At 43.9% G+C, this 15147-nt stretch overlaps 1 protein-coding gene across 1 annotated transcript; it reads right to left on the bottom strand.

The window, feature by feature from the left end:
* Positions 1 to 5441: 5441 nt before the first annotated feature.
* On the bottom strand, positions 5442 to 6404 carry OR5C1 (olfactory receptor family 5 subfamily C member 1). Its single transcript, NM_001001923.1, has one exon. The coding sequence runs from the start codon at positions 6402 to 6404 to the stop codon at positions 5442 to 5444; it is 963 nt and encodes a 320-aa protein (NP_001001923.1).
* Between the last annotated feature and the right edge of the window lie 8743 nt (positions 6405 to 15147).

Here is a 15147-nt window from a genome sequence, read left to right as displayed (position 1 = left end):
CATTTAAGTCTTTAATCCATCTTCAGTTAATTTTTGTATAAGATGTAAAGAAGGGGTCCAGTTTCAATTTTCTGCATATGGCTAGCCAGTTCTCCCAGCACCATTTATTGAATAGGGAATCCTTTCCCCATTGCTTGTTTTTGTCAGATTTGTTGAAGATCAGATGGTTGTAGATGTGTGGTGTTATTTCTGAGGTCTCTGTTCTGTTCCATTGGTCTGTATCCTGTTTTGGTACCAGTACCATGCTGTTTTGGTTACTGTAGCCTTGTAGTATAGCTTGAAGTCAAGTAGTGTGATGCCTCCAGCTTTGTTCTTTTTGCTTAGAATTGTCTTGGCTATATGGGCTCTTTTTTGGTTCCATATAAAATTTATAGTATTTTTTTCCAATTCTGTGGAGAAAGTCAGTGGTAGCTTGATGGGAATAGCATTGAATCTATAAATTACTTTGGGCAGTATGGCCATTTTCACAATATTGATTCTTTCTGTCCATGAGCATGGAATGTTTTTCCATTTGTTTGTGTTCTCTCTTATTTCCAGCAAGGAATATTTCTAATAGGAGATTAGGCCTTTATTGAAGGGGTATATGTTTCTGTGTGTGTACTGCAGTATGAGGGAACTGAACCTGTATGTACCATTCCAGGTGGGAATAGCTTTACATAACACTGTTGGAATAACCAGAAAGAATGATTCTGAATATATAAACTTCCAATGATTTACTATTGCCTCTTGAATAAAGTCTAAATTTCCTACTTAATATTGAAGCCATGGAGTGTTCTTCTCATTCCCTAATTTTCAATCTTTAAACTTCCCTCTACTTTCCCAGCACACCCCCTCAAGCCAGTTAAATTGGTCTCCTTAGAGTCTTCTGCTCATGCTGAGCTTATTTTACTTCCATGCCTTTCTATATACTTGCCCCTCATCCCCCTGGTACAATTGCCTCTTCCCCTCAATTTCCACCCATGTTGCAGGGCCCAACTTATTTTGTGCAATGAGTGCCCCAGTCTTCCCCAGCTTCCTGTCCTCACTGCCTGCTTTAGGAAGTGGTGTTGAAGGGAAATACTTTATCAGAATTGGGCACATTCTTCTGGGCATCTCACTTCAGGAGGGGTGATTTATCTCTCTTCATGCTCCAGGTTGGGCTCTGTTAGTGTTTCCCAATTCTTTCCCCTTCCCTCTTGTTTGTTTTCCTATCTCTCAAGTAGGCCCAGTATAATAGCTTGAAACTTAGTATTTCCTCCAGCTGATTTCTAGGATTTATGTAATTATTGTATCTGGCTGCTCCATGGATACTAAATATGTGGAAGGAGCCATGGCCATCCTGTAGGGCCAAGGTGATGGAAGGGGCCTTATCCGTCTGGAAACTTTTCCACTGATTGTGGCAGCTGCTGTATGTCATGAGAGCCTAAGAACCCACAAAAAAGAGAAAGGACCATAGAGGAGATCTTTGAGTCTAAATGTTGAATTTGGGGCAAGCCTTACATTTGCAGTCCTCAGGTTGCCAACTCCTTTGACAATGACTCCGATTTTTGTTGTGGCACCTGATTTGCTGTGGTGATAGGAGGCAAGAGGAGTTGGGGAACTGGGAGAGGATGGTTGAGCCTTGTGATGAGAGGAGGGGTTTTATTTTATCTAAGTCTTTTCAGAATGTGCTGAATTTGGGACATTGTAAGTTTTCTCTCAAGAGCTGCTTCAACAGGAAATGGGGTGACCAACTATCTCGATTTGCCCAGGACTGAGGGTGTCTTGGGACATGGGACTTGGAGTTTTTTTATTTATTTTTTTATTATTATTATTTTTTGAGACAGAGTCTTGCTCTGTTGCCCAGGCTGGAGTGCAGTGGGTGGCGCCATCTCAGCTCACTGCAAGCTCCGCCTCTTGGGTTCAAGCCATTCTCCTGCCTTAGCTTCCCGAGTAGCTGAGACTACAGGCACCCGCCACCATGCCTGGCTAATTTTTTTTGTATTTTTAGTAGAGATGGGGTTTCACCGTGATAGCCGGGCTGGTCTCAATCTCCTGACCTCGTGATCCGCCCGCTTTGGCCTCCCAAAGTACTGGGATTACAGGTGTGAGCCACCGCTCCCAGCCGGGACTTGGAGTTTCAAAACTGGACTGTTCTGGGAAAACTGGAGTGAGTCAGGAAACCTGTAAAGTTCTCTAAGATTTGAGGAGATGGTCTTGTCCACATTCTTCTCTTTATTAGCCTGGGAACTCCAAGAATGCCATAGTTACCAAGAGGGAGGGTCTTGGTCCTGGCAACAAGGGGCATCTTCTTCCCAGGGAGCCAGGTCGAAGCCTTCAGTTTTCCTGCAGTCTAAGTGGCGCCAGGTGGTTGATTTCTCCTTGAAGGGAGAGTGTAGAGGGGCAAGGCCAGCCCCTGGCTAGGGCCCAAGGAAGAGACTCCATGGGCAGCCTATTGGGTGAAGCATTGTTTGAGTCCCATACCTTTCCCACCCTGGCCTTGCCTCAGCCATAATCAGGGGAACTGGAGGGAGGATCAGGTAGAAGCTGACATTTAAATCTGGCCATGCTCCACCTCTTCTTGGAGGCTCTTGCCTGTAACTCCCAGGGTCTACTCCTGTCTGCTCCTGCAGAGAGAGGCTTCCCAGGCAGAATGCAGTGCCTTAGGACTTGCCTATGTGTAAAAGAGTCATGGAGACAAAAGAAATCTGTCAAAATTGTGAACTCTGGGTGAATAAAACTCCCAAGAGCACTGGGTCTCGGAGGTCCTCCATGACTCAAGGCTTGGGGCAGTGTAGTTACTGTTGCCCAAGAGGTCAGGGTTATGGCATTCCCTCTCCAACTCCAACCCTACCTCAATGCTGGAATCTTAACACCAAACAGTCATGATACTAATCCTACCCAACCACATGCAAATCCAGGCATGCTCATCACTCTGAATGAAACTGAAATTCACCAACAACCAACCCCTACCCTTAGGCTTTAAGTAACATTATTTATAACCCCAACTAAATCTTAAAGTGACCACAAGCATGCCAATTTGATACCTAAAATATTGTTATGCCTAAATTTCATCTGGTTCTGATCCCAGCTTACCTGTAGTAATAACCAGACTGTGACTTAAACTTAGCACAAACATTACCCATACACCAACTTAAGTCTAATGTGAACTAAACTCTAACTCCAATTTAATTGAGTAATACAAATGAAATCCAAACTCCAATCTTATTTAGTTTCCCATTCTAACACTAACCCTAAAATAATTCTAATATGTCTAACAAGATTTATCCAAACTCTTATTTATTTATTTATTTATTTATTTATTTATTTATTTTTTTTACGTGGAGTCTCGCTCTGTCACTCTGGCTGGAGTGCAGTGGCATGATTTTGGCTCACTGCAACCTCTGCCTCCTGGGTTCAAGTGATCCTCCTGCCTCAGCCTCCCGAGTGGCTGGGATTACAGGCATGCACCACCATGCCTGGCTAATTTTTTTCGTATTTTTAGTAGAGACAGAGTTTCACCATGTTGCTCAGTCTGGTCTTGAACTCCTGACCTCAGATGATCTGCCTGCCTCGGCCTCCCAAAGTGTTGGGATTACAGGCGTGAGCCACCGCACCTGGCCCAAACCCTTAAATTTATCCCAAATATACTACTAATAACAACGAGCCCAAATTATAAAATTTACATAATTGTAATTCAATCATAAATTTGCCTGATCATTTCTTAATTCTCCCTAACCCTAATCCTAACCTACCATAACTGAACCCCATCCTTAGCCATAGCCTGAGACCTAATCTTAACCCGATTCTAACTATTCAATCCTAATCCTTTCCTAGCCTCTATCATAAGCCTGAACTAGTCTAACCCTGGCCAAATTCAAATCCAGCTGTTGGGAGTTTAAAAGTGACTTGTGCATGTTCTAGCTATTAAGCCATTTTCCTGAGACGTGGAATACATGGGCCATAGGGGACAGATGTTTCCCTCTTCAGATTCCGTCCCATGCTTTGGTCTAAGTGGATCCTGAAGATGTTCTCCTGGGCTGAGGAGGGCAGGCGCAGACACACTGGCCATGAAGAAGCTTAAAAGGTCAAGAATCTAGGAACACTTGGAACTAACATAGCTCTCACTTGGTGCTTCTGGGGATTAGCCTCTTGTAAGTACAGGTGGCAAATAAGCCTGTATTCCTTTACCTGGTAACATCTAGGAACTTTTATATTACTACTATTTTGAGATAGGTCTTGCTCTGTTACCCAGGCTGGAGTGCAGTGGCACAATCACAGCTCAACGTCAGCCTCGACCTCCTGGGCTCAAGTGATTCTCCTGCTGCAGCCTCCCCAGTAGCTGGCACTACAGGCGTGAACCACCACGCCTGGCTAATTTATTATTATTATTATTATTATTTTGAGATGGAGTCTTGCTCTGTAGCCCAGGCTGGAGTGCAGTGGCGTGATCTCGGCTCACTGCAAGCTCTGCCTCCTGGGTTCACACCATTCTCCTGCCTCAGCCTCCTGAGTAGCTGGGACTACAGGTGTCTGCCACTGCGCCCAGCTAATTCTTTTTTTTTTTTTTTTGTATTTTTAGTAGAGACGGGGTTTCACCTTGTTAGCCAGGATGGTCTCGATCTCCTGACCTCGTGATCTGCCTGCCTTGGCCTCCCAAAGTGCTGAGATTACAGGTATTATTATTATTTTTAACTTTTAAGTTCAGAGGTAGTACATGTGCAGGATGTGCAGGTTTGTTACACAGGTAAATGTGTGTCGTGGAGGTTGGTTGCACAGATTATTTTATTACCCAGATATTAAGCCTAATATCCATTAGTTTTTTTTTTTTTTGCTTCTCTCTCTCGTCCTACCCTCCACCCTCCGATAAGCCCCAGTGTGTGTTGTTCCCCTCTATATGTCCGCATGTTCTCGTTGTTTAGCTCCCACTTATAAGTGAGAACTTGTGGTGTTTGGTTTTCTGATCCTGTGTTAGTTTGCTGAGGAAAATGGTCTCCAGAGCCATCCACGTCCCTGAAAAGGATATCATCTCTTTCTTTTTTGTGACTGCATAGTATGCCATCATGCCCAGCTTATTTTTAACAATTTTTTTTTTTTGTAGAGATGGTGGGGGGGTCTCCCTGTGTTGCCCAGGCTGGTCTTGAACTCCTGCCTTGGCCTCCCAAAGTGCTGGGGTTACAGGCATGAGCCACTGCACCCAGCTGAATATTGAAGAATGTTTTGAATGTTGAAGAACCTGAGGCAGTGCAACAGAAACATTAGCCTGGTCTAGCGTCTGGCTCTAGGTCTAGCCCTAGATGAACCCCAAATCTTTTTCTCCCTGCTATAAGCTTTCATTTCCCTCTTTACTGTCCCTTAAACAATGACATGAGACATCCAAGCCAGAGGAACATCCCATCTTTACCGACAGTGACGGGGCCAGAAAGAGGCCCCGACCTTCCTCATCCCCTCATAGTCAGACCTACCCAGCCTCCCTGGACCAATCACTGGGACCCCTGCCCTGGACAGTGGAATCGGCTCCAGGTCTGCCTGAGGGCCTCCTTGACCTCCTTATTGCGGAGGCTGTAGATGAGTGGGTTGAGAGACGGGATGACCAGGGTATAGAACACAGAGGCCATCTTGTCAGTGTCCAGGGCATAGCTGGAGCTGGGGCGCAGGTACATGAAAATGAGTGTCCCGTACATCATGGCCACGGCTGTGAGGTGGGAACCACCGGTGGAGGCTGCTCGCCGACTGCCCTCGACCGAGCGCATGTGGATCACAGCCCCAGCGATGAAGCCATAAGACACCGTGATAGCTAACACCGTGGCTGTCTGGATGAAGCCACAGATGGCGAAGAGAAGGAGTTCATTGAGACTGGTGTCACTGCACGAGATGGCCAGCAGTGGAGGGATATCGCAGAAGAAGCTATTGATCTTCCGGGAGCGGCAGAAGCTCAGGCGGAAGGTGAGGGTTGTGTGAACAAAGGCACTCACTGCCCCACCCAGGCCTGATGCTCCCAGCAAGGCCAGGCATAGACGCTGCGACATAGCTGTTGTATAGAGAAGTGGGTTTCTGATGGCCACGTAGCGGTCATAGGCCATGGCTGCCAGCAAGCAACACTCAGTATCAGCCAGACCTGCAAAGACAAACATCTGGAGGGCACAGGCTGTGTAAGGGATGGTGGCTCGGGGCAGCAGCAGGTCCACTAGCATCTTGGGGCCGATGGCGGAGGAATAGCAGGCATCCAGCAGGGAGAGGTTGGCCAGGAAGAAGTACATAGGTGTGTGGAGCCGGGCATCCATGCGGATCAGCAGCGCCATGCCCATGTTTCCCAGCAGGCTCACCAGGTAGACAGGCAGGCAGGTCAGGAAGAGGGCCACACGCAGGTCCCAGCGATTTGTGATGCCCAGGAGGACGAATTCAGCAGGGGCAACCGCGGCCCGGGTGAGGTTCTCTGAGTTCATCCTACTGGACAGAGACTGAGAAGAGGCAAAGCAGGAGGGAGATAAGAGCAATGGCAAGGCCATGGCCAGGGAGAAGAAAGCATCCTGTACTGGGAGTTAGGTAGGCTTGGGTTTCAGCTCACCTGTGCAACAAAATTGCTGTGACCTTGAGCAAGCCACGTAACCTCTCAAAACCTGTTTCTAACTCTTAGAAGTCATTGCAGAAGCCTTTTTTTGTTTTTGAGATGGAGTTTTGCTCTTGTTACCCAGGCTGGCGTGCAAAGGTGTGATCTCAGCTCACCACAACCTCCGCCTTCTGGGTTCAAGCGATTCTCCTGCCTCAGCCTCCCAAGTAGCTGGGATTATAGGCATGTGCCACCGTGCCTGGCTAATTTTATATTTTTAGTAGAGATGGAGTTTCTCCATGTTGGTCAGGCTGGTCTCGAACTCCCAACTTCAGGTGATCCGCCCACCTCAGCCTCCTGAAGTGCTGGGATTACAGGCATGAGCCACTGTACCCGGCCCGTCTTTTTTTCTTTTTTCTTTTCTTTTCTTTTCTTTTTTTTGAGATGGAGTCTTGTTTTGTTGCCCAGGCTGGCGTGCAGTGGTGCAATCTTGGGTCACTGCAACCTCCGCCTCCTGGGTTCAAGTGACTCTCCTACCTCAGCCTCCCGAGTAGCTGGGACTACAGGTGCCCGCCACCATGCCCGGCTAATTTTTGTATTTTTTAAGTAGAGGTAGGGTTTCACCATGTTGGTGGTCAGGCTGGTCTTCAACTCCTGATCTCAAGTCTGCCTGCCCCAGCTTCCCAAAGTGTTGGGATTACAGGTGTGAGCCACCACGCCCAGCCTTTTTTTTTTTTTTTTTAAAGAGACACAAGGTCTCACTATGTTGCCCAGGCTGAACTAAAATTCTTGGGCTTAAGTGATCCTCCTCCCACCTCAGCCTCCCAAGCAGCTGGGATTATAGGCATGCTCCACCACACCCACAGGGGTCTTGTCCCTCTTATTCACTTTTGTGTCTACAGCACTGAGAGCATTGCCTAGCACATAGCTGGTGCTCAAAAAAGATTTGTTAAATGAATGAATGGGATGATATTTAGTGTCCAGCCAATGATTGAAAACTTTGTGACTCTATATGCATTCTCCTCTCCAGTTTTCCAGGTAAGAAAAGAGACAGTGGAATGAGCAGAAATAATCTTCAGATCCAACGGGCACCTGGCCATGGCTTTTGAGGTTTGCTAGTAGGGACATCTTTCCTTTGGAGTAAGATCGGAGAAAGGAGTAGCCTGGTATCTTGCGAAAACAGTGGGGAGTAGAAAGAACAGAAAATGTGAATATATTCCTGAGCTGAATTCTTGGCCTCTCTGAGCCTCAATGTTCTCATCTGGATAATGGGGGAAAGCTGCAAGGATTCGATGAGATAATGCATGTAAAGCTTCTCACACAGGGCCTAGCACACGCAGGCATTTAACAAAGGCCCTGCGAATGGAAATAAATTGAACTGGATGCTCTGGCTCCAAACTGGAAGGAAGCAACTTTATGGCAATCAAAAGTAGTATAATTCCCAGAAAATGCAATGTTGCTTCACACTCCTGTGCCTTGCATTTGTCCTCTTTGCCTGGAACCCATTTCCTCCTTTTGTGTTTGGTAAAAAGTTTCTCCAGTGTGAAGCCTTCCCTGATCTGTCCCTTAAAACTAAACATTTTTCTTGTCTGTGGCCTGCTGCACTGGAGCATACAGTAGTTCCCCCTTATCTATGGGGAATACGTTCCAAGACCCCCTGTGGATGTGTGAAATCACAGATCGTACTGAACCCTATATATGTGATTTTTTTCCCTATACATTCATATCCATGATAAAGCTTAATTTATAAATTAGGCATAGTAAGGGATAACAACAACAATAATAACATAGAACAATTATAACAATGTACTATAATACAAGTTAGGTGAATATGGTCTCTCTCTCTGTCCCTCAAAATATCTTACTTTTATATATATATATATATATATATATTTTTTTTTTTTTTGTTTTGTTTTGTTTTGTTTTGTTTTGTTTTTGTTTTTTTTTTTTTTGAGATGGAGTCTCACTCTGTCACCCAGGCTGGAGTGCAGTGGTGTGATCTCGGCTCACTGCAACCTCCACCTCCTAGGTCCAAGTGATTCTCCTGCCTCAGCCTCCTGAGTGGCTGGGACTACAGGTGTGTGCTACCATGCCCAGCTAATTTTTTTGTATTTTTAGTAGAGATGGGGTTTCACCACATTGGCCAGGTTGGTCTCGAACTCCTGACCTCAGGTGATTCGTCTGTCTCGGCTTCCCAAAGTGTTGGGATTACAGGTGTGAGCCACTGCACCCAGCCTGTTTTTAATAGTTTCGGGTCACAGTTGACTGCAGGTAACTGAAACTGCAGAAAGCAAAACTGTGGGTAAAGGGGAACAACTGCTGTACCTCTCTCATGCTGCTTCACCATTCTATTGCAAATATCTTTTACATGTGTGTCTCCTGTGAACTTTGAGCTCCTTGATTCAATATTCATTCAACAAAGTTTTATTGAGCATTACTGTGTGCTAAGAATGCCCCATAATTCATTTTTGTATCTCCAGGGTGAGGTATATAATCAGAGCTCAAAAAATGTTAGTTGAGTCCATAACACAGTGAACAAGAGTACAGACATTAGCAGCATGAACACTTGCTTTTGAGTCCTAGTTCCACAACTTTCTGGTGTGTAACTTCAGGCAAGTCACTTCACCTCCCTTAACTTTGGTTTTCTCCTTGCAAAGTAGGAATCATAATATCTCTGTGGAGGTTTTTAAGAGGCAATAGGTGTGCAGGAAGGGGCCCGGAGCTGAATAAATTCTTCTTCCCCTCCTTTTAAGAGAAGTTTAGATGTTTGGGACTTACCTGTGCCCAGTGAGGATGGTGAAAATCTCCTACAAAGCACAAATTGGATGAAAAATTTTGACAATATCACGTTGGTGAGGTTGTGCTTGTGGAAATGTAAACTGGGACATTTCCGACCACTGTGCACGCCCCAGTGTCTTAAGCTACTCAGTTTGCTATAACAAAATGCCAATAGACTGGGTGGCTTAAACAACAGACATTTATTTATCATGGTCCTGGAAACTGGGAAGTCTGTGGTTAGCATGTCAGCATGGTTGGGTTCTAGTGAGAGCCCTCCTTCTGGCTTGTAGATGGCCACCTTCCTACTGTATTGTCACAGGTTGGGGACAGAGAGACAGAGAAAGCTCTCTGGTTTCTTATAAGGGTACCAATCCCATTATCATAGATGCCACCATAATGACCTAAATAGTTTTAGACCTAATTACCTCCCAAAGGCTCCTTCTCCAAATACCATCATATTGGGGGTTAGAATTTCAACATGAATTTTTTGGGGATGTAAACATTCAGTCCATAGCACCTGGTAATTCCACTACTTGGTGTTTACTTTTGAAAACCCTCTCATGTATACAGAAGGAGACAAGGGAGCATGCATTCCTGGACTATTTGTAATGGCTAAATAAATGTTAGTCAAACCTAAATGTTTATCAGTAGGCTCATGGGAGTTAAACAGGAATGGAGTCAACCTCTATATAACAATATAGAGAAATCTCAAGAACATATTGAGATCAAAACATAATTTTCAGAAAAAATATACAGATTGATGAAAAAACTCATAACATATGTTTTTTTAATGTATGTGTATATAAGACATACTGCTGTCTGCTCCAAACAGAGATGGGGCTCCAGCTAAAAGACCTGAGGGCATTTCAGAGGATTCCATGGCCTTTGCCCCCTGCTATGTCAGAGCTGATCCTTCTTATCTTTTAAGATTCAGCTTAGGGGTCATCTTTATCTGAGCACCCAACTGCCCATCCTCTCATGCTGGAACTCCACTCACCAGTCTCTCTGCATCATATCATTATTCCATTGTTGTATAATTACCTACATGCTTATCTCCTCTCACCTGATCAAGCATCTTAAGATCTGGGACTGTGCTTAATTCACCCCTCTGTCCATAGGCATACAGGATTTTAGGTATCTTCCTCCTTCTCCTTGGTGTGTCACTGGTGGAGGTCAGACAGCTTCCAGGGGTACAGAAACAGGGAGTTCCAGTTCTACTCAACTACCTGTTCTCCAAGAATGAAGTCTGCTACCTGGCCGAAGTTCTGCACACAGAACCCAGTGGGTGGCCAACCCCTTTGTATTTCAGTCTGTCCACATGGAAAGCAAATGCAACTCACCTTTACCGAGTGAGGAGCAGAGGTGCTTTGAGTGCCTCTCCATTTCTCCATCTGTAAAATAGGGACAACGAGACTTCAGGACTTTTAAGGTACTTTGAATGTTTTGGGTACAAGTACCCACAAACTTCAGTTAAGTAGGTATTGTGGAGTGTGTGTGTTTGCACACACAAAACATAGAATTAATTCTCCATTAACGTCTCTCTCTCTCGCCTCACTACCCAGGAGGAGCAATATTGACGTTCTAGGGTTGTGTACGTCAGTGTGGGACTTGCTAATAAAAGAGGAGGACTCAGGTTTTCATAAGGAGCAACTTCTGCGTTTGCTCTTCGGTGCTAATCAGTGCTAGAAAGGATCTGGAAAACTTCAGGTTCCTGCACTTTTAGGTTCCCGGTTGCCTCTAGTTGACTCTCTTGTCTTTTCAAATCCTTCCAACATTCCTACTTCTGTCTGACTCCGTATTTATCTTTCAGTCCCTGGGATTAAAGCTTATGAAGTCTGTCTATGTATATATTTATGTATGCATGTATGTATGTATGTATTTATCAATCTATCAATCACTTAAATATCAATCCATTTTTAATTATATACTCAACAAGCATTTTTTAACTACCTGTTATGGGACAGGCACTCTATGAGCACAAGGGATACAGATGTCACTATAACACATCTGTTACTGCTCTCACAGAACTTTCAGGCTGGTGGGAAGAGAGAGCTCTCAATCAAATAACCACACACATACAATTACAAACTAACATATATATGATCTGAAGGAGAGGAACACATTTCTCTCTTTCTCCTCAGCTTACTGAATGGCATATGATGCCAATCAATGGAGTGATTGGTAGGCCATTGATTGATTGATGATTGCATGAACAATCTCATTTGATACCTATCACATCCTTATGAAGCAGATACTTTTATATCTACTCATAGATGAAGAAATCCAAGCCCAGAGAAGCATCTTTTACTTTTGAGGGTGATTGTTCCCACCCTCTCCCTTTGTTCCCACCCTCTCCTTTTGGCCCAACAGTGGGCCGCCCACCTGTTGTGCCTCTGCAGTACCCTTGTGCTGGTCCACTTCACTCCAAGGACTGCCATGTCCCTGGTCCAAGCCCCACTCATGTGATCATGAGTGAGCTTCCCAGCTGGTCTCCATGCTGACCACATCTTCCCCTCTCCACTGTGCTTCTCAAGCCTTGTCTAAGCATTTTACTCTGACTGTGCATTAGATAACTCCAAACACTTTGCCAAGGGTCTCCACAAAAACAGTTTTCTAATATTGTTTCTTCTATGCAAGCCTTTGCCCTAGTCCTATCTCCTTATTATTCACTCTTCTCCCCTGTCTTTGATGCTAGGCCTACTTATTACTATCTTTTGAAATTATTTCCCCTGTCTAGAATCCCTTTTTTCCTCTTCTTCCCTGTATTAGTTTGTTCTCATGCTGCTATAAAGAACTGGCCAAGACTAAGTAATTTATAAAGGAGAGAGGTTTAATTGACTTACAGTTCCACATGGCTGGGGAGGCTTCAGGAAACTTACAGTCATGGCAGAAGGGGAAGAAAACATGTCTTTCTTCACATGATTGCAGGACGGAGAAGTGCCAAGCAAAAGGGGAAAAAGCCCCTTATAAAACAATCAGATCTCGGCCTGGAGCAGTGGCTCACACCTATGATCCCAGCACTTTGGGAGGCTGAGGCAGGCAGATCACGAGGTCAGGAGATTGAGACCATCTTGACTAACATGGTGAAACCCCTTCTCCACTAAAAATACAAAAAAAAAAAAAAAAAAATTAGCCAGGCGTGGTGGCAGGCGCCTGTAGTCCCAGCTACTTGGGAGGCTGAGGCAGGAGAATGGTGTGAACCCAGGAGGCGGAGCTTGCAGTGAGCCGAGATCACGCCACTGCACTCCAGCCTGGGCGACAGAGCAAGACTCCATCTCAAAAAAAAAAAAAAAAAAAAAAAATCAGATCTCATGAAAACTCACTATCACGAGAACAGTAGCATGAGGGTAACCGCCCCCATGATTGCATTACCTCCCACCAGGTCCCTCCTATGACACGTGGGGATTATGGGAACTACAATTCAAGATGAGATTTGGGCGGAGACACAGCCAAACCATATTGTTCCCCTATTCAAGTTCCTAGCTAACACTTTTTTTTTTTTTTTTTTTTTTTGAGATGGAGTCTCGCTCTGTCACCTAGGCTGGAGTACAATGGCATGAACTCTGCTCACTGCAACTGCCACCTCCCAGGTTCAAGCAGTTCTCCTGCCTCAGCCTCCTGAGTTACTGAGATTACAGTCACGAACCACCAGACCTAGCTAATTTTTGTATTTTTTGTAGAAACGGGATTTCACCATGTTGGCCAGGCTGGTCTTGAACTCCTGACCTCAGGTGATCCACCTGCCTCAGCCTCCCAAAGTGCTGGGATTACAGGCATGAGCTACTGCACCCAGCCCCTAGCTAACATTTAAGCCCGATTTAATTTGTGTCTTCTCTGTGAATCTATACCCAGCCATTGCAATCTACTTTGGCTTAATATTAAGGGACTTGTGATGTTTTCTGCCACAGTATCACTTTAGTTTCATGCATTCACCACCCCAAGAGGTATTCACTCTTAAAATAAGTTGGATTCTGCAGTCGAACATAGGCTGCCATCAAATGGAGTGGTTATAACACAGTCTCATTGGTTGGAGCCATTAGGAGAGAGATGGAGTTTGTATTAAAGATGATGCTATGACCCCATCCTGTGAGCAAGGCAGACATGGCTAGTCAGTCGTGCTACTCATTCTTACTGAACTCGGACTAGCCTTAGAATCCTTCTTATCTCAGTGCTTGTGGAAGTCACTGCCTGAGGGCTGGGGTTTGTAGGAGAGGTGAAGCATCTTTGTTATCCTTTGGTTAGGTGCATGTCTTCTCTGCAATTCAAACTCCCCTATTTCAATCCTGAGTTTTTCATAACATTTCCCAATGAAAAAAATCTTTAAAAATTAAATTTAATGTTAATAATAAATATGAGTACATCGTTAGAAGTTAGTGTTTTCTACTTTGCTCTCTTTTTGTTATTTATTTTTAGGAGCAATATAATGCACTGTAAAAAATTCAAGAGGCACCAAAGGGTATTTAATAAAAAACAACTCTTCCTCCCACCTTGCTTCTGAGTCCTCTATTCCTGCTCTCTAGAGGGGACAGCTGCTAGCAGTTTCTTGTGTATCCTTCCAGAATTACTTTATAAATGCACAGACATATATGTATATATTTATTTTAAAACTTGTATGTTAGCATATAAATGGAAATGCTAAGTCAAAGAGTATATGTACTTCATTTTGTAGATACTATCAAATTGCTCTTAAATAATGATATACTAATTTATATTTCCACTAGCAATACATAAGAGTACATGCTTTCCAACATTCTCCATAATACTGTTTTCAGACTTTTTGATCTTTGCCTAATGATATATAAAAGTACCTCACTGTAGCCTTAATTTACATTTATCTTATTATGAATGAGAATGAACATTATTTAATAAACTTAAGAATCACTTGTGTTTCTTTTGTGAATTCTCTGTTCACATTCTTTGCCAATTATCTGTTGAATTTTTGGTCTTTGTTGCTATTAATTAATTTATTATTATTATTATTTTTGAGATGGAGTCTCTCTCTGTCACCCAGGCTGGAGTGCAGTGGTGTGATCTTGGCTCACTGCAGCCTCCACTTCCTGGGTTCAAGCGATTTTCATGCCTCAGCCTCCTGAGTAGCGGGGACTACAGACACATCCCACCACGCACAGCTAACTTTTACATTTTTCGTAGAGATAGAGTTTCGCCATTTTGGCTAGGCTAGTCTCAAACTCCTGACCTCAGGTAATCTACCTGCCTTGGCCTCCCAAAGTGCTGGGATTATAGATGTGAACTACCACGCCCAGACTGTTGCTATTAATTTAGAGTACCTCTTTACATTTTGTGGACATTAGCTCTTTGTGATACAAATTATATAATTATATATATATTTCTATTTTGTCATGAGTCTTTTGACTTTATGGTTCTTTTTCTTTATGAAAAGTAAATTTTAATTTATTTAATTGAATTTGTAAATTCTTATTTTATTGGTTTTAGGTTTTATGTTATACGTAGAAGCCCTCTTTCCATTCTAAGATTATAAAAATATCCTCCCATGCTTTTCTTCTAGTACTTTCATAGTTTCACTTTTTTAGATGGTTAAATATTTAGTCTACCTGGAATTTATTTTGTGCTAGTTGTAGTGTGAGGAGCCAACTTAATTTTTTTTTCACCAAAAAATTCAGCAGAAAGAATAGGCTGAAGGTTCCTCAGAGTTCGACATCATGGTAAAATTGTGAGGCATATCCTCCTCTCAGCTGTAAGCTCTGTGAAGGTGGAGGCAGTATCTCTGTTACTGTTATTGCCAAGCACCTGGCACATCATAGGTGCTCAGTGAATTCTTGTGGAATGATGAAGGTCGTTCCCTTATATACTCACTAGAACTGGCTGAAGTGCATTCCATT

This window comes from Homo sapiens, chromosome 9 (genome assembly GCF_000001405.40).
Source record: "Homo sapiens chromosome 9, GRCh38.p14 Primary Assembly".
NCBI classification, from domain to species: Eukaryota; Metazoa; Chordata; class Mammalia; order Primates; family Hominidae; genus Homo; species Homo sapiens.
Note: the sequence above shows the minus strand (reverse complement) of the source record. Positions and strands in the feature narration are given on the sequence as shown.